General features: G+C 42.1%; 1 protein-coding gene across 1 annotated transcript in view; it reads left to right on the top strand.

Annotated features, from left to right (window-relative positions):
- Positions 1-20,743, top strand: part of NXF2 (nuclear RNA export factor 2) — a 79,556-nt gene that overhangs the window by 46,743 nt on the left and 12,070 nt on the right. Inside the window, exon 3 of the mRNA NM_022053.4 lies at positions 13,117-13,212. Within this exon, the coding sequence (NP_071336.1) occupies positions 13,170-13,212 (43 nt within the window). The 5' untranslated portion in view covers positions 13,117-13,169. The remainder of the gene's footprint in view (positions 1-13,116; positions 13,213-20,743) is intronic.

Consider the following 20,743-nt stretch of genomic DNA (forward strand, 5'->3'; position numbering starts at 1 on the left):
CCTCATATTATTTTTTCTTTTTATTTTTCTGCTTTTCTTTTGCTCTTCTTTCAAGCATGGATATGACTCTACACAGCTGCACCCAGGGGTGACCTTTAAAGACAGTGCAGAGAAAAGTATCTCCCTGTTGTGGGGTGGGGGGACGGGGGAGGGATAGCATTAGGAGATATACCTAATGTTAAATGACGAGTTAATGGGTGCAGCACACCAACATGGCACATGTATACATATGTAACAAACCTGCACGTTGTGCACATGTACCCTAAAACTTAAAGGATTAAAAAAAAAAAAAAAGAAGTCTGTTGAAAAGATACACTATGGACCTTGGGCTCAAAGACCTACGGTAGGAAGCTCTGAGTAGGATGTGAGAAAAATCAATGTGACAGTGAAAAACAATTATTATGTACAACTCTTTTATATTCTAAAGAAGGGGGTTAAGAATAAAGATCCTTGATGTGCTGATCAGGGTGATGAGTCTGAGGATTCAGTCATCAGAATCTCACAGAGATAAATGGCTCCACAGAGAAAAGAGATTTGAAGGGAATGAGACTGTTCAGGAAGAACAGGAGCTGATGCCCATCCATCTCATGAGGGTATGAGGAAGAGAGGCAAGATAGTCTAACGCAGACTGTTTGGTGACATTTCACTGGGACACGTGCCATTGAATCTCCCCCGTTTGTCCCCATGAAGACGTCTACAAATGCGCATTGAATGCTTTGGTAATCAGATTTATCATTGGTTTGGGGGTGGGGGGTGAATTTCAGCATCTACTGTCAAGCGGGGCAAGAGCAAAGGTAGCTCTTGGCGCCCTAATAGTACTCTGCTTCAATAAGTTAGCTGTGGTCATTGCAAATTATGTCAGCAGAAGTTGAGTGGTTAAACATGGGCTTTACCTTCAGAGAAACGGAACAATTCTGAAAAAGAAGAAAAGAGAGAAGATCCAAACTTGCCACAGGCACATGCAGCAGGTTCTCCAGTCCTCTTTAGAGTGGTTTAGCTGTTTAAAAACATTGGGTGGGTTCTGGCACGTGCCTAGTGTTTTCCACTCTTACCCTGTTTATGCACCTCTGTCCTGCTTCCTTGATCAGCTGCCCACCAGTCCTGAGATTCTCCCAACATGGATCACTTCTCAGTCATTGAGAAGGGAATATGAGAGGAGGTCTAGATCATTATGTTCTTATTTGGCAGTTTAATTGTTAAAAGGAACATTCACCAATATACTCCCACCTCGACACCCACAGAACGTAAAAATAAACTGTTGTAGGATGTGGTACAGTGGCTCTTACAGGGTATACTAGAGAAGAATGAGGATGTGAAGAAAACTGGGGTTCACATTGAGCCTGGGGTGGAAATCCTGGCTGTTCAGGGTGGTGGAAAGTGTAGGGCTGATTGCCATTCCTATGATGCCTTCCTTGAATCCTCCGGTAAGTATCCACATCTTCTAGTCTCTGACTTCGACCATATTTATCACCTCTAATACCAGAGTTCTGAAGTTTGTTTCTTGCTGGATTAGTTTCTGTGGTCTTCTAAGGACTTATGACCTATACGTCTGTTTTATAGCCTATAAAATTTTGCTAACATATTTTTCTTGGTGTGGTGTCGTTGTCTGGTACCTTCTGATTTTTTGTCCCGCTTTGCACCCCCCGCCCCCCCCCACTTCATTATTAGGGGTTTTCTGGTGGGAGCATAAAAAGCATTTGCACTCAGTATTCCTGAAGTAATCAGAAGTAAATTGATAGATTCTCTAATGTTCCACTACCCTTTCATTCCTGGAACGAACGCTTTTTTAATAGACATATACTAGTTAAGTTTAGTAATAATTAATTTAGAAGTTTTGCATCTGTAATTATATATACTATAATTTTTACTGCTCGTACTGTCCTTTTTGAACTTTCAGTGTCTAATTTTACCAGCCTCATGATAGAGACTTTAAAAATAATCTCATTGACTTTACTGACAAATGTCTTATTATGTCTGAAATATAATGGATCTAGAACCTGAAAAAATTAGTTAATGAAATGCACTGAAATGAATGGAAAGTAGGATACTCTTCTATGGTTTTTAAAAATTGAGGCATTTACTGAGTCATATAGTGGCCCCCGCCAAATTCCTGTCCACCCTGAACCTGTAAATGTGGCCGTATTTGGAAATAGTGTTTTTTCAGACGCAGTCACATTAAGATGAGATCATATTGAACCAGGCAGGGTAGGCCCTAACTCCAATATGACTGCTGTCCCTATAAATAGAGGTAGATTTGGACAAGGAGACACAGACACATAGGGGAGTCGCGTGGAGACAGAGACAGAGACTGGAGTAAGGCATTACAAACCAAGGAGTGACAAGGAGTACCAGCATCCACCAGGAACTAGGAGAGCTAAGAAAGGCTTCTTCCGTCAGATGGAGCATGGCCCTGCTGACATCTTGATTTTGTACTTCTAGCCCCCAGAACTGTGTGAGAATAAATTTATCTTGCTTTTAGCCACCCAGTTTGGGTATTTTGTTATGGCAGCCCTAAGAAACTAATGCAGATTTTAGTGCTAAGACGTGGGTTGTTCCTGTCACAAATGCCTAAAAATATGGAAGTGGCTTTGTAATTGGGTAATGACTAGAGGCTGGAAGACTTGAGGCACATGATATGAAAACCCTAGATTGCCTTGAAGAGACCGTTGGTAGAAATATGAATGCTAAAGGTGATTCTTGTGAGAGCTCCAGAAGGAAGTGAGAAGAGTTGTAGAGGAAGTGCTTATCATCTTAGAGAACACGTGTATCATTATGAACAGAATGATGCTAGAAATATGAATATTCAAGCTGCTTATGATGCCGTCTGAGATGGAAATTAGACACATGTTAATGAGCACTGGAGGAAAGGTGACCCTTGTGATAGAGTGTCAGAAAACTTGAATGAATTGTGTAGAAAGCAGGTCTTGTAAGCGACGAACTTGGATATTTAGCTAGGAGATTTCCATGCAAACTCTGGAAGGTGTGGCCTTGTCTCTTTATAGTAAAACGTGAGAGTAAAGAGATAAGTTGAGGAAGGAACTGTTAAGCCAAAAGGAAGCACGCTTGATGATTTGGAAAATTCACAGTCTACCCAGATAGTGCACTATGGAAACAGGGCCAAAAGTGTGGCTGAACAGCCATTTGCTAATGAGACTAGCTAGGCATGTGGACCCAACCAACCACCTTGGCCCTAAGCCAGGAAACCAGATAGGTTAATCCAGGAAGGACCCACACAGAGCCTACATATCTAGTTGTGTGGATCCCCTTGGCATCTGCAAAAACATGGCAAGGATTTTGAGAGTTTTATACTAGCAGAAACGCTGCCAGCCTGGACTGAAATGTCCAGAGATGGGACAAAAATGAAAGAAGAATGTCTCTGAAGGCAGAAACATGGAAGACCAGACCAGAAATGGCATTGTCATTACCCTGGAGGGCTGGATGGACTGAGTCCCTGACCCAGAAAGCCAGGAAGATGGGGCTGCCTCCCTGGAGGGTCCTAAAGTTTGGGGCTGCCTCCCTGAAGGGCCCTTGGGACAGAAGATTGAGCCATGGAAGTTTACTCTTGGCCTGAAACTTAATGGACTTTTTTCCTGCTGGGTTGTGAACCTGCCCCAGAGCGACAACCCCTTTAATCTTTCCACCTTCTCCCTTTTGTGAAGGGGACGTCTAACCTACGTCCGTCCCACTGTAGTATTCTGGAAGTAGATAACTTGTTTTCTAGCTTCATGGGTCTGCAGACAGAGAGGAACATTGCCCCAGGGTGGACCTTGCCCAAAGTCTACTCGGTAAGATCCTGACAATTTTAGATGAGATTTTGGATTTAGGGTTAATGCTGGAATAGGTGAAGATCTGGAGGATTTGGAGATGGGGTGAATATAATTTACTCACGGTAAGAATGTAAATATTGGGGAGCCAGAGGGCAGACTCTATTGGGTTGAATAGTGCGTGCACCCCCCTCCCCAAATTTATGTCTACCTGGAATCTGTGAAGGTGATTTTAATTGGAAGCAAGGTCTCTGTAGATGTAATCAAGTGACGATAAAGTCACACTGGACTAGGGTGTGCCCTAATCCAATGACTGGTATCTTTATAAGAAGAGGAAAATTGGGACAAAGAGACAGACACACAGGGAGAATACCATGTGACAACCGAGGCAGAGATTAGGGTTAAGCTGCCACAAGCCAAGGAATGCCAAGGATTGCCAGCAACCACCAGAAGCTAAGAGAGATGTGTGGTACAGATTCTCTCTTTAACTGCCACCCTCACCACAAGGTACCAATCTTTCTGACACCTTGATTTCAAACGTTTGGCCAATAGAAATGTGAGAGTTTAAAATTCTGTTGTTTCAAGCCACCCGTTTATGGAAATTTGTTATAGCAGCCTGAAGAAACGAATACAGCACTTGAGTCCTGTTTAGCAAGGATCAAGCTAGAGCTCTTTGGTCACTGTGTCTAGCCTGGTGAACATCAGTGGCTGCTTGGGGCAGCCATATGGACATTATTTGTGATTGTGCATCCCTGAGATGGGCCTGGGGATGAGCCCTTGTGAGTTATGCAAAAAAAAAAAAAAAAAAAAAAAGGAAGGACCCCAGCACCCCAGGGAGACTTAAGCATGGCACCAAGTTGCCTAACAGTCATTGTTTTTCAGGCATGGGTACCACAGTTGCTGCCGTAGCATGCATTCTCCTTACCCTCAAGCGTATTCATGTGCATAGCCATGGCAGCCGGTGTCCCAGGGACTGATGATTAAATAAAGAGGGTGGTGGAGGAGGAGCGTTTGGCACTCAGCTGCTCCCACAGTGCTAAACCACTTAGCCCTTATTCTATGCAGAGCTATATCTAAGTTTCATTTAATTCTCACGCCAAATTGAGGATCATGATGGAAAATTTTGTCTATAGCTAAATAGAAAGCTGAAACTAAGAAAGGTCAAGTATCATGAAGTAAAAGAGAGGTTCTATTAGTAATAGCAAAAACTTGGACTTCAAGCACTGTGTTCCTTTCATTTGTTTTTAAATTTTATTTATTTTTTAATTAGACAAAATTGTATATATTTACGGGGTACAATGTGGTATTTTGATAAGTGTATACATTTAGAAAGACTAACTCAAGCTAATTAATATATCCATCATCTCACCTACTTATCACATTTTGTGTTAAGAATATCTAAAATCTACTTTTAAAGCAATATTGAAATATATGATACGTTGTTATTAACTCTGCTCACTATGCTGTGCAATTGATCACCAAAACATATTCCTCCTGTCTAACTGTGCTCCAGTCCCAAATCCTCAGCAGTAAAATGCCCCTGTCTCTCCTCAGTGAAACCACTCTTGATTAATAAAGTAGTCTTAGTGTAGTCTTACCTGGGGCTTAGTTGTCCCAGATCTTTCCTGCCATCCACCAGAACCTCTTTGCCTGTAGAGAGTCCTCTGAACTTGAGAAGCTGCAGGATTATGAAAGCCCAGCATGTCATACACTTGCCTGCTCATTGCTCCTTCTCTCACCTTGGCTCTCTTGTCTCTCATAGCAATGTCATCTCAATATCGGGCATCATGAACATAACTCTTCCGGCCTGTCACAGAAATGAAGCAAATAAACTGATGGAAAAAAAACCATAAAGAAACCCACAATACCAGCCACAAGTCAAACCATTTAAAACTGTTACTTTTGTATTAGTATCAGACAAAATAGACGTTAAGACAACAATAATTATTTGGAATAAAGAAGGCCACCATGTAGTCATGATAGAACATTTATCAAAGAGCTAAAAAGTCTGAACTTAACATGCACTCAAAAACATAGCCAAGAAATACATAAAGCACGATGTTCAGAGTTACAAGAAGGTTGCCACAATAAAATATAAAAGTGCACTATTTTAGAGTTGGGGCAGTTCCAAGAAGTAGCAAGATCCAGGGAGTGCCCCTGAGCATGGCAGTCAAATAAGAGGTCTTGCGACCATGAGGCTTGGAATCAGACTGGTTTTCTACATGGACATTGAAATCACCCAGGACTGTGACAAGATTAGGTGTAGAAACTCTGAATGAGACATAAAAATCTTTGACCAAAAGACCAATACGTTGGTTTTATTTTAGAAAGCCATCTTTGTAAGATGCCCAGGATGGCCATAAAATTGAATGTGTATTGGTCAGGGATATTTAAACTACAACTAACAGAAAGTGCAAGTCTCGCTGGCTTATCCAATAGGTAAAGACACTTGCTTATATAACTGAGAGTTCAGAGGCAGAGTGAGTTTCATGGTTAACTGAGCCAGTAACGGAAAGATGTAAACATCCAGGCTAAATCTTGACCCAACCACTGCTGGATTGGGCATTGGATTATTGGATTAGATTAGACTAATTCTGGGCCCACTCTTGGAGCTAAGAAAGTGGCCATATATCCTCAAGCACATGACTCTACTGGGAGGAGATACACTGATGGAGGCCTGAGCCCAGCCAGGAAGGTGAGGAATGTATATTGTGTAGGTAAACAAAAATGTCACCTGCAGGTACAGACTCAAATTATATATACCGCTATGAGCATAGTAACCACAATATTCAAGTCCTTCTTGTGTCCTAATAGAGTGACTCTTCGGGTAACAAAGACGGATATTTTATTCAGGAGCTACCTATATTGAATTCATGAATAGGCGGTTACAAAGCATGAGAGCTCTCCCCTGTGCAGTATATGTTTTGGAAGAACCTCAACAGGCATCCACTGTGGGATGCTTAAATCCCATTTTCATTCTTTTTCGATTCGTCGGCAAAGTTTTCTATTCGCTCTTGTCCTGAGATGATGTTGTGTTAGGATTATTTGACCAGAGGTAACTGAATTCTTCGTATTTACCGTTAAGTTTTGTCTTTCTGTAAACACGCGACACAGACTTCACAAAGATATCAAAGATCCTCAGATTTCAGTATGGAACAACCTTAAAAGCCCTGGGTCTTTAGAAGAAAGTCAGACTCAGCCAGGCGCCGTGGCTCACGCCTGTAATCCCAACACTTTGGGAGGCCAAGGCGGGCTGATCACGAGGTCAGGAGATCGAGACCATCCTGGCTAACGTGGTGAAACCCTATCTCTACTAAAAATACAAAAAAATTAGGGCTTGGTGGCATGCGCTTGTAGTCCCAGCTACTCAGGAGGCTGAGGCAGGAGAATCACTTGAACCCGGGAGGCGGAGGTTGCAGTGAGCCAAGATCGCACCACTGCACTCCAGCCTGGGCAACAGAGCGAGAGTCCGTCTCAAGGAGAGAAAAAAGAAGAGAGTCAGACTCCTATAATGTACCAAAATTAAAGAACAACCTTTTCCTCTAATGCACACATTTATTCACGCTTTGAAAAGAATATGTTTCCATAACAATACCAAATATGCATATGAAAAGAAAATTAAAAATAAGATAATCACCCAATCTGCGAATATGCAGATTTGAAAATTAATTATCAATATATAAATGGAAGCTCTTAATAAAGACGTTGTAGTATCACATAGACAAGATATGTAATGTGTTATTGCTCATGTTTTGCCTTAGTCTGCATCTACACTGTGAAATGAGCTTAATCGTGTTCACTGGTTCATTATTTGCTAACTCCTTGATTGACTTAGCCAGTTGAGCAATCCAGCCAGTGAGTCATTCTATAACTGTTGATAAACTACGTGATGTTTTAAATCCAAGGATTAAAAGAAAACACAAACATTATATATCTTGCCTTTTTTCACAGGATCTAATCACTGATAATAAATTATCAGTGATAAGCTGATCACAAGAAACAAGGTATAAATGCTGCATACACTAAAAAGAAAACAATGTGGCTGACTATGTTTTAAAAATTATCTGACAGTATTTTCCAACAGAGTATTTAGAACTATTTCTTGAATTGCAAAATATAGTTGCCTTGAGCAGATAACAGGAAGCAATCTGGGAAATTTAAAATTCTCTACTTTTAATACATTAGAAATCTTTGAATCATAATTGCTCATTGTTTTAAATGGTCTTCACAGTGGAGGGGGTTTGGACCAGAGAGCTGCATCTTCACAAATGGCACTGCTCTTCAGTAAACACCCTCTATGGAATCCCTACCTTTTCACTCCTCTCCATCCTTTGCCTGAAGGAAGTTTTCCTTGTAGACATAATTTTGTATTTGTATGTTGTGGTAGTCCTCAAAGAGTGAGCCTATTACCTAGAGCTGTTGAATTTTACCTTGCATTGAGGGGTTGGCATATTGAGCAATTTGCCAGGGAGCACTATCTGCAACTGCTTCTCTTTTTTTCCTATTGCTTGGCACTGACATAAAGTTACTTCTAGCTACGCTAATGAATTTCACGAAGGAACACAGAAAAACAGGTCTTGAATGTAATGCCCGTAATGATAGAGTCCCATCTTATGCTTTCCCTTGTATGCTGTTGCTAGGTCAGTCATTTTTACTTTCTGAAAGTTAATTTACATAGGACACCTAGTTCAGGTGTATGTATCTGTTCAAACCAAAAGCGTTAGAGTATTTATGTTTAATTTAACAACGTCGCAACCGTTCTGATACTTAGGGGAGTTCTGAGTAAGTAAGTTCTAGAAAGGGGAGTTCCAGTACTCCCCTTTCTCTCTTTTCTGTGTTAGGTAAAGCCACCCCTCCTAAAGCCACTAGCATGGATCCCCAAAATGTCCACCACAGAACGAAAAGGTAAAAGAAGGAGAAGTTGTTCCTGTTAAATCCTGCCGTATCACACGCAAGAGAAATGGCTTATCAACCTGCCTCACCCCAGTAAACACAGCGCCTAATAAATTCAGTGCCTAAACTGGACCCCGGACATATGAATCTTTGTCCACAGAGTTACCTTCCCCCACTGTTTGTGCATATTAGAGCACCGACAGACTTCCATTGGTGTAACTTAAAAAAAAAAAAATCCTAACAAAGTCCTGATAATCATCTCAGAGAAAGAGTGAATGATATGAGTATCAGGTCTGACAGGAGCAAACTGTGAATTAAAGTAAGAGTTATAATTAGGATTTGTCTTTTGGTGAAAGAATTTGACCATCATCAATACCGTGTAAGTTCCAGTTGAGCATAGGTGGGCTAGATAAAATTGTGCTGTGCCTTTTACTGGTGATCTGTTCATCTGTATGTAATGATAGAAACGGGGGCCAGGGCAGATACCAGGTCTTGAAGTAGGCTTCCATCCTGTGACTTTGTATAGATACTTCCTAAATCCAACTTGAAATTTCATAATAGGCTCTTTCATAAATATGTAGCCCCATTTTATATCCTCTATTTACATGTGTCCCATAAATAATTCTCCAGAATTATCCGAGACCCACTGATTGGCGCTTCCTAGTCATTCATTCCAATTATCATGACTTCAGTCTACGGCCATACCACCGTGAACGCGCCCAATATCGTCCAAATATCATGACTTCCTTTGATAACCTTAGAGCCACTAACACAGCCTGTTGTCCTCACTAGTATATTCAACTTTAACTGTGGTGGAAAATTTGGTCTGTTGAGTTTTCTTCTGCTTATTTATGTAGCCAGGCCACAGTGCGGGAACCTAGCAAAGTAATCCCAATGCTTGTATAGCATTGTTTGCCTCTGCAAGCAAATCAGAAAGACTCCACTCCACCAAATTTATTTTGGACATGCAGGTGAAGCTGCAGTTTCCCACACAAACCAGCAAAACAGGTGGTCGTGAAATTGCGATTAACAACAACTGCAATGTGTACTCTCCTTCTCTTTTCTCTATCCTTTCTGGGGAGACACAGGCAGAATAAAAATACAGTGAAATCTAATTATAATTCAGATTCCACTCATACAAAATTGTTGCAGTTCAGGCCAGAGCCAGGTATGATGTTTTAAAAGTGCTAATCTTTCTCTTTTCAGTAATTTTTTTAAAGAAGGAAATGTTTTCAGCTAACCTCAAACATTTTATACTGACTTTCATATATACATATTTTATATATTAATGGTAGGTTTATATGTATACATTTAAATGAATCTCCTGAGGTCCTTAATTAGATTCAGCATTGACTGGTGCTAATTACTGACAGTACTTGAAATTTCTTAGTTGGTATTTCAAAGAGAACATCCAAGACCTCAACTCTTCAGTAACTGGGTCTGGCTTCCAGTTTGTGTGAATTAATAAGGCTGAACTAAAATTAATTTCCTTTGGAAAACCCGGGGGTGGTCAGAACAGTCTAGCACCATACTGCCTGGGGGAGACAGCTGGTTTGCCACCTGCAATGTCTGTGACCTCTTAGGCAAGTGATTTAACGCCTCTGTGCTTCAGTTTCCTCGTCTGTAAAATTCTGTTATACTACCTACTCCATAGAGTTAGCACTCTTAAATGCGGTAACCTTTTGGAGTGTGTGGCACATACTAATCACTATACACATTTTCTTTTTCAAATGAACAACTAAAATTCATTAGGTTTGCCCTAATTTCCTTTGGCCCTGTATGAAATTAAGTAAACAGTGCTTACCTGTACGGACTGCTTAGGCTCTTGCAGTAGTGTCTATGATTATGGTTTTAGTGAGGACCTTCTTCATTGTGAAGTATTAAATTTCACGTGTTGTTAGAAATGAAACACATAAAATATATTAAAGAGGGATGGGGGGCCGGGAGCGGTGGCTCATGCTGTAATCCCAGCACTTTGGGAGGCCAAGGCGGGCAGATCACCTGAGGTCAGGAGTTCGAGACCAGCCTGGCCAACATGGTGAAACCCCGTCTCTACTAAAAAAATACAAAAATTAGCTGGGCGTGGTGGTGGGCGCCTGCAATCCCAGCTACTTGGGAGGCTGAGGCAGGAGAATCGCTTGAACCGGGAGGCGGAGGTTGCAGTGAGCTGAAATCATGCCATTGCACTCCAGCCTGGGCAACAAGAGCAAAACTCCGTCTCAAAAAAAAAAAAAAAAAAAAAAAGTGAGGTGAGGGTAGCAAAAGCTCAAGTCTGTGTGCTGTGGGAGGTTATCTGGAGGTACCACCATCTCAGTAATATGGGCAATCTCAGAGCTCCAGGTCTCATGAACAGAACGGTCTCCTGAAACATGCAGATCAGGAGAACTCTGCAGTGGTTGGATTCTACTGTCAGGAAGTTGACCCAAGCTCACCCACCTATCCTGGGTACTTGAGCCTTGCAGGATCCTAAGGCTGCAAGCCACGTGGATGCCACCATCATGTGAACACTACAATTATGAGCCCTACTGATAGGGCCCTACTGGTCATATCAGCACCAAGGGCTCTAAAACTTTGAGGTCATGTGGCCTCTCTTGTCATGTTGCTCCTATGGTCATGTGATGGGCCCAGCTCTTCCAGTCACTACAGTATGGTGGACTCCTGAACCCTGTTGCTCACATGGATTCTTCCCTCACCTGGCCATTACTGGCTACCAGCATGTGGAAGTCTCAGCCCTCGAAGTCATATAGATGACCTACTGTTTAGGGTCATGTGGATGCTATGGTCATGTCCACTGCTCCCACTCACCCCTCCCCATGGCCACAGTGTTAGGCTCATTCCTCTCTGTCACGTGAAGATTGTGAGCTGCCAAACTCTGCAGATGTGTGTGTGGGCAGCCAAGTGGCTCCTGTCATCTCGTGGCAGGCAAAGCCTTTGCGGTCCTGTGAGCACCGCAGCTAACCAATGGCTGTTGTACATGTGGCTCTTATGGTCACGTGAGATTCCGCACCCTCCCATTCACGTGAAGATTGAGTGCTCCGAATCCTGTCAGAGAGGTGCTTCCGGCTCCACACCCTGACTCAGGCGGAAGTTTTATTGGACTTCGGCTCAGATCTGAAGCCTTCCGGCAACTTTCATATCCTGACGCGCTGGAAGGAAGTCTGGTACGAGTGGAACCAGCCGGTACTAGAAGTTTACTGAGAATTGGGCTTTAAGGCGTGGCTGAGCAATCTCCAAATAGCAGAGGCTCTGAGGGGGTGGGGTGGGGTGGGGTGGGTGGGGGGTGCCGGGGGTGCGGGAGGGTGGGGGGTGCGGGAGGTGCGGGAGGGTGGGGGGGTGGGGAGGGTGGGGGGTGCGGGAGGGTCGGGGTGTATGGGGGGTTTGGGTGGAGGTAGCGGAGGACTTCCCTAATGTGGCCGAACTTGTGAACACCTGGCAGAGAAACTGTGTGTGCGTGCGTGTGTGTGTGTGCGTGCGCACCCATGCATCTATGTCTGCCATCCGCCTTGATCCTGGACTCACAGGAGCTGTTGTTGGAGGAGAAGGCACTGGGGCAGAATGTGGGGCTGGGGGATAGGGGTAGGGTTGGTAGTGGGGCGGCAGGGATTCATGAACTCGTAAGTCGTTTCTCAGGGGCAGGGCTGTGGAAGCCTGATGGGATTCCCCCCCCTTCCCGCCCCCACACTAAAAGCCCTACCCTTGCCTGTCACTCTGCCCGATTCACCGTCTGTGCCAGGTGATTCTGTCCTCTGCCCCTCCTCAGACCATGTTGTTATTAAGGACACTCGAGACTGCCTAGATCCCAGTTTGTATAGACGATTCCAGACCCAATCTTAATTTCTGTCTCTTATTTGATTATGTAAAGATTCTCTTTGTTTCCATGATTTATTTTTCTACTAAACCTTCTAAACATGGGCTCAGGGGGGTGGGCGAAAGGGAGAGAGGGGAATCGGGAATTTTTTTAAAAAGAGAATTTGATATTTCAATAAAAGTGTCCAAGTCGTCATGATGTGAAGATTCAGAATTTACTTGTTATACTTTATTTGAACTCCATTGGCTTTAAAAAGTACATTTGGGAGTGGGTGACATTTTTTTTGTGTGTGTGTGCGCTTAGGATCTCTCAGTAGCTTATAGTAGTATAGCTTCACACTCTTTTGTTTCTGATTCTCCCCCCATCAACCCCTGATTTTCTAATGATTGCTTCTTAGATTCCTTTCTGAAAACTCTCTCCTTTTCTTCCTGTGGAAAAAAGTATAGTGAATGGATTTAAGGTACAATCATGGGTGATAACATTTGGTACATCATGAAAGCGGTATTGGGTGAATGAAGTTGAGCAAATAGCAAGATTGTGCTTAAACTTACGGGGTTTCAAATATTGCTTGTCAGATGGTTAGAGAATATTGTCACTTGTGATATTTGATATTACATGTAGGTTGAATAATCTATTTTTCTCTCATTTCAGCATTTCCAAGTTCGTTCTGTGAGACTGTAGTGTCAGGACAAAGCAACAACAAAATGTGCTCTACTCTAAAGAAGTGTGGGACATACAGAACTGAAGGTAAACGAATACTGTAGGATTTTTTTAGATGATATGCTAATAAACAACACGAGTCTCAAAGGGGGGGCTACTTTCCCCAACTTGTATGGGAATGGAACATTTTTTTCCACAGAGCATTTGAGGTACCAGTGTTCTTCAGAAAATATTTGGGGAAACCCTGTTCAGACTACATCTTCTAACACTTTAAAACCTTGTGCCTTTGTTTACTCAGAACAATGGAATGTGGGTTTATAATAGTTGTAATCTAGTCTGCTCATTAAGACATTGATTGTTGCTCTTTAATTCATTTTATCTCATGTCATCAGTCAGTCTCTCCTGCTTGAATCTTTGTACTTTTTTACTCTTCAGAGATACCGCCAAGCATGCATCTGATACCATGGTGGTGGCAGACAATATGTGCATAAATGCAAGTCATTAGGAAGCCTTACCTGTGGCAGCAAATAAAGTGCCCCCACTCTTGAAAACAAGATACAACTTACCTGTCAGGACAAGCAGATGCAGTACCGCTCATTTTACACAATAAAAAACCACACTTCTTCAGAACCATTTTATTATTACTTAATAATTACAGCTGCCATAGTTTGAGCCCCTGTCATATGTCAAGCACTGTGATAACCTCGGCTGTCATGCAAGTTACTGCATTTAACCCTCAGGAAAGTCCTGAGAGGGTGTTATCTTAATTGACAGATGAGATATATGAGTCAGGAGAGGCTGAGTGTAACGCTGTGCTTATAGGCAACCCCCAAACCTCAGTGACTTATTTCTCACTCCTGCTGCATGTTTATGCCAGGTGCATATCCTTCACGGGATGGTGGATGTTGGGTTCTGAGCCATTCTTATTGGAATGACTCAGAGACCCAAACTAATGGAGCAGCCACCATCTAGAAAGGGGTTACTCACTGCGTCAGAGTGGGAGAGAGCCGTAGAGGGTCTCAAACCAACAACCAAAGGTTCTGACCCAGAAATAACCCGTGTCACTCGTCACTCACAACCCATTGGCCAGAGCTAGTCACATGCACGGCCCTGCCCCAAGGAAGGCAGTCGGGTCGGGCAGTCCTACCAGGTGCCTGGTACAGGGGAGAATGTAAACACTTGGTAAATGGCAGCACTGACTACTGCATGAAGGAATCAAAGCTGGGAGGGATTAAGTACTTGCCTAACATCACATCGGCCGTAAGTGACAGAATCAGGATTTGAATCCACCCAGGCGTGATTTCAAAGTCGATGTCCTTTCTGCTTCTTTCTACGCTGCCTGCTCTTCTCTTAAAGGAAGCTTATAGTAAAAATTCTTTTACATCAATGATGCAATGCCCTCTTCCTTAATCATCTGATAGTTTAATTGAATAGACACGATGGCACTGGTTAAAAAGACCAGCACTGATAAGCCAGAGGTCTTTTCCAAATGAGGGAATGTATTGGATATTTGAATATCCATTGTATTCAATTATAAAAATAAAACCAGGTGGTAGATGAAAGGACTTTTCATTGATCATTTACTTAATGTGGAATAATCCCCATGTCTTACCGCTATGTTGAGGAAAAATGATAAAAAAATAGAGCCTACCTTGATGAAAGTGAAAACACCATGTGAGAGAGTTGAACAAAATTGCTAGATGTCAGTGTTTCAGAAGCGCAGGATAATGATAAAATCTCTGGCCACACGGGCAGAGAAAATTAGCGAGGTGGTGCGGGTCAGCCACTTTTGGAATGAAGATAGTGTCACACTTACAGTGACAGAAAAGATTGAAAAAGATCACATTATGAAAAGGATGTGAAAATTTGAAAATTTAGATTAAATAGATGAATTCCAGGGGAAAAATATATATAACTTTCCAAACTGAAGGAATAGAAAACCTTGGTTTATTCAATGTATTCTTGACAAGGAATACATGCAAAGGCAAAATTACTAGCCAACCCGAATTAGTTACATAAACGCAAATAATATAAATCAATTAATAGCAAACTAAACCCAACAATGGGTAAAGCAGATAATACAGCATGACGAGGTTGTGTTTAATCCCAAGCATGCAAGCTGAGTTTAACATTTTAAGAGATCCATAATGTAATCTAACACATTAGCTGAATAAAGGGAGGAGGACAGGACAAATACCACAAAAGATCCAGTTAAAAAAAAAAGTATGCAATAAATTAACCAACCGGGATTGAACAACAACAATACCAATAATTCTCAGCAGATCGGTAATATAGAAAGCTATCTCTTTAAACTGACAATGGGTATCAAAACAATAGACCCCATCAGACACCACCCTTAATAGTAAAACATTAGAAGTATTCTCCTTACAATCAGAAAAGGGATAAAGATGACTGGTATGACGAATTCTGTTCAATGTCGTACTGAGTCTAGTGCAGTAAGCCATATGTCATACTAGGCAGTGCGGTAAGCTGTGATACATGCATGCCTACATACATAAATTAATACGTGTATAAAAGTGAAAAAGCTGTCAACGTGACTATCTTCATATGAAACTCAAGAGAAGCTACAGAAAATTAAAAATAATAATGGAGATTAACAAGTTTGTTGGCTATAAGACGAACATACACAAACCATTGTAACAAAGAAAATACCATCATTATTGTAAATATACCATTTACAACAGAAAACATGTCTTGTGAAATATACGATGAATCTGCTTACTTGGCAACTATTCCAGCACTCTTAAACATTCTTATATGCTTTCCTGTACTGTAGAGACTAGAAAGTTGGAACATGAAAGGAAACACACATGCACATGACCCCACGCATGTGCGCACACACTCTCTTTCTCTCTCTCTCTCGCTCTCTCTCTCTCACACACACACACACACACACACACACACACACACAAATACACTCTCACACACATACAATTTACCAGAGTCCCTTGCAGTTAGGGTCTCAAATGGGATATTTATCGCATCAAGCGTATGTGCCAACATGAGACTCAGAAGTGGAACTGAATAACATGGGAGCCATATGTGGGGTGGACTACCTGTGATGAGGGAGGTCTCCAGTTTTCATGCGGCAGCCATTGCAGAGTTTCTAGAATTCAGTCTCTGTCATGCATGTCAATTAACGGGCAGGCAGCAGTGGTATTTCAGCTGTAGCAGTTCCATCACGTGGGTGGACTTCTCCTGGCTGTGCAGCATCCAGGCCTGCTTTTCTGGCCCTCACAGAGTTTTTGTAAGCTATGTAATATATTTTATTAGAGATATCTTGTTTGTATAAAAGAGCTAGAGTGAATTCTGGCATAGGCAAGTTGGGACCTTGATTAACAGAGTACTTGGCAGCAAAATTGGTTGCAAGCAAAAGACCTTGAAGGAAATGGGGATCTGGGGTAGATTTGGCCCACAGGGCATAGTTGCTGACCTCTAAGCTAATAAGTTGCTGACCTCTAAGCTAATAGACTCACTGGGTCCCCAAAACAGTGCTGAGTGGGAAGTCAGCAAAATGAGGAGGCAGCTATTGCTAGGATCCTCTGGCAAGCATAAGCCAAAAACTGAGGCTTTAACACGGTTGTTTTCAACCTTGGTTGCACACTGCAATTCACATGGAGAGTTAAAAAATGTGGTTGCCTGGATCTAACCACGGTTCTGCTTTGATTGTTTTGGGTGTGTCCTGGTGCTAGTGAATTGTTTCAGTGTCCCCAAGTGGCTCTAATGTGTAATCATGGTTGAGAACTGCTTGAACAATTTAAATCATAAGAATGCAAGCCTTTCACAATATTTAATTTTAAAATTTTATAATTGTGGTTTCAGAATGATAATATTACAGTAATAATAAATACATAGTTACGCTGGAAAATATGAAATAAAGATTCCCATGTAAGACATCGAGAAGATTGTCTTTTTCAAAGAGAAAGGAAATGGGAAAACACAGTGGTAAAGCCGGGGCCACCACAGGTTGTGTCCGGCTTGAAGCTAAACTGCCGGCAAGGCCAGAGCAAGGTATGGATTAAAGCTAAGTGTCTGTGAGCCCAGGGCTGATTCAGCAGTGGAGCTTCCTCTGCAGAAGACATCCACAACCCAGGATCAGCAAGGAAGGGATGGCACAAACTCAACAAATCCAATAATTGGCACTGAGGGAACAGAAAGAATGGAAGAGGCTGAAACAGACATTAAGATAATATTTCCCCAGAGAGACAAAGGAGTGATAAAGGATGAAATTGTGTCTATTACGAAAGAATAGAAGACTGCCCAAGAAAGATGGCTTTTTGAAGGCAAGGATCTCCTTTCACTTCCTCCTGAAACTTCATTAAAACAACATCAAAGGTGAACAAATTATGGTATATCCATCAAGGGGCTTTTACTCAGCAAGGAAAAGTCAAGAACATGGATGGGTCTCAGAAACATTATGCCGAGTTAAAGAAGCCAGACCCAAAGGGGTGCAGCATGCACAAGTCCATTTGTGTGAAATCCTAGAACAGGAAGATGAATATATAGTAACGGAAAGTATATCAATGTTTGCACGGAGCCAAGGGATGAAGAGGAGATCGACTGGAAACCTTTTGGGTTGTGTTATATGTTCTATATCTTGATTGAGGTGGTAGCTAGCCCTAATCTCTGATTTTTACATGTAAGGAACCTGGGATCAGGAGAAGTTGAATGAGTCGTCAAAAGTGAGGTTAGCTTATTAATCAGAGAGAAGATATTCACACTTGATTGTCAGTAATAAACGGTTTCCATTATGCTGTATATGGGTCGATAGGAAAAGTGCTTCTCCCCAAGCACTTGACAAAACCCTGACCCGGCCATAAACATCCTCTTATACAAGTATGAAGCGTAGGTGTGAAAGTATAACCATTCTGCATTCCAGCCACCTACTTCTACACATGGTTGACATTCTCACGTGTCCCTTTACCCTGACTTGTTTGTGTTTATATTTACAAATGAAAACATAACTTCTCATTAATATTTTCTTCTGAGGAATCATACTGTAATATACAGTTTTATAACCTGACTTTGTTTTTCTTTCCCTTTGTATCACGTGGCGTGACGAGTATTCTACCTTGTTGCTTATAGTCTGCCACTTAAACCTGAAACATTTCTTGCATAATAATACATTTTTTTTTTTCCTGAAAGATCGGAAACGGGAACTTAAGCTCCCTACTGAATCCTTCCGCATAACCTGTTTCATGCTCTGAGCTTTCTGTTTTGGTTCCCTGAACCCATATGTCAGATGATTCCCCACTGGAGCCGGGGCTGCCCTGTTTTACTACTGCCGCTTTGTAAGATACATTAATAGCTGACATGGCAACCAGATGCCACTCACTCATCTCTTTTCCTTGTCATTTCCAGGAGGACTAATAACAACGAATGCAACTAACACGTATTTCTCCCTCAATAAACGCCAGATGTTGTACTACGTTCTCGACATAGTAATAGACAACTTATTTATAGTGCTTGTTAGGTCACGGGCATTTCTCCAGGTGCTTTTCACGTGTTTCCATGTGTTAACTCACTTAATTTTTACAGTAGCCCATGAGGTAGAAACTGTTACTATCTTTGAGTTAGGGGGAAAACAAGCAAAAAGAACTTGAGTCACAGCGAGGTCACTTAGTTGCCTTGGATCATAGAATTTAGCACCAGGATTGAAATCCTGATGGATCTGACCACAAATCCTAGGCCCATAACCAATAATGTGCGACTCTGTGTCAAGGCTGAAATGAGCAGTACGACAGGGCCCACTCAAAGTCTGCTGGGCAATGATGGGTGTGGTTTCTGGAACCAATGTCCCGACTCCAGCCTTCTGTCCAAGAGACTCATCATTGCACAGTGTTGCCCTATACCATCTCTCCTTTTTTCGGACTGTGTGGGAACTGTTTCTCTGGTGTTCAACTTGAAGTGAAGTAACAGGGACAGACAAGATGTACATGGACAGGAAGGAAGGAGGGTTTTCAGAGGGGAGCATATCGCCAGGATGAATTCAGTTCCCTGGAGGCGTTTTCAATGTGTGTTTCTTTGTCTTCTCTGTACTCACCCTCTTCTTTCTGACCCACACATCCATCCCTTGGCCTTTTCACCCTGTATGTCAGGTACTCATGCCCCTTCCTTGCCATGTCTACTTCATTGCAAGGGCAGTCATTTCTACTTCTCCCTTTGACAATATCAGCCACTCTCTGGTCCCGTCATCCTTCTGTCCCAAAGGACCTGTAAAGCACAGCCGTATAATTATATGTATATATTTAGACAGAGAGTGATATATGTAATAAATTCGAAAAGTGAAACGTCTGGATCAAAGTGTAAGAATGACTTCTGAATGGTTAGGCATATTGCAGAAAATTAGACTCACACACGGTTAGTGGAAGTGTATATTGGTGTAAATATCATTGAAAATCCTTACGAAAATATCACTTTATGCTTAAAAGTACTCATGTGCTTCTCCTGGGAAACTGTAGAGCAGGGACTCAAAATCTTAAACCCACTTCGAAGCCCTGGCTGTGTTCCACTGGGTTTTTTGGCCACCCCTGCTGGGGGTACTCTGTAACCCTGGTCAACCTGTGGGTATTGTTCCATTACTTTTGTGTACAGGGAACTCTCCTACTTTCTTATTTTAAAACTATCAGTTCAAATATTAAAACACCGAGAGGTAGAAAAGAAAAAAAGCACTAAAAAGCATATTCTGAACAAGAAACAAAATTTGGCCATATATAATACATAACACATGAAAAGAAATGTGCAGTGGGATCCAGTGTTGTGTGGCAATGTGTTTACCAACATGATTTGGAGTACATGTATCTGTAACCTAATTGTGGAAGCATGTAATACGAAACACTAATACTTGCTCGCATGGGCAACACGGACACACAGACCACACATTCTTCCCTTTCTCTGAGACAGGGATGATGCTTCCTGTCTGTCACAAGGCTGAGTGAACACAACATGCCTGTAGGTCCAGAACATTCTTCCTACAGAGACCAGATGTCCAGAAAGCCCTATCTGCTGGATTCAGGGAACGCCTCTCCTCATTTCTGTCAGCACTATTTGCAAAAGCCTCCTTCTCTGAGATCTTCAAAGCTGCAGTTCTAGCCACAGTCTGCAGGGAGGTACTCAGTTCTATTTCTAAGGATACATTAATGAAAAAATATTAATGTTGCAGAAGAAAAGATTAATTTGTTCTAGTTTTGCAGTCAGGTTATGAAATAGTTCTGCAGCCCGAATAGCTCTGGAATAAATATAAATAGAGGTCGGTAGAAATGGTTCAGATGGATGTATTCTCAAAAGTGGTTTTGTCGATGATCCCAAACCTACATCAAATGCATTCATTTAACAAATATTAATTAGGCCCTTATTCTATGCCAGACACTACCAGCCCAAAGTGACTCCTAATCTGAAAACCCATGGCCCAAACAGATTACACCCATCTGGTCCAAGACAGAGATCTCCACCTTATCCAAGACACCTGGTTCCCACCCCAACAGGAGTGACTAGCACAAAACATCATCCCGGCCTGCTTACAAAAAAATCTGTCGATGAGACCTGAAAGCTTGCCATTTAAGGGAGAACCAGTGCAGTCTCTGGAGGAGCACTCAGG

Source organism: Homo sapiens, chromosome X (genome assembly GCF_000001405.40).
Source record: "Homo sapiens chromosome X, GRCh38.p14 Primary Assembly".
Taxonomy (NCBI): domain Eukaryota; kingdom Metazoa; phylum Chordata; class Mammalia; order Primates; family Hominidae; genus Homo; species Homo sapiens.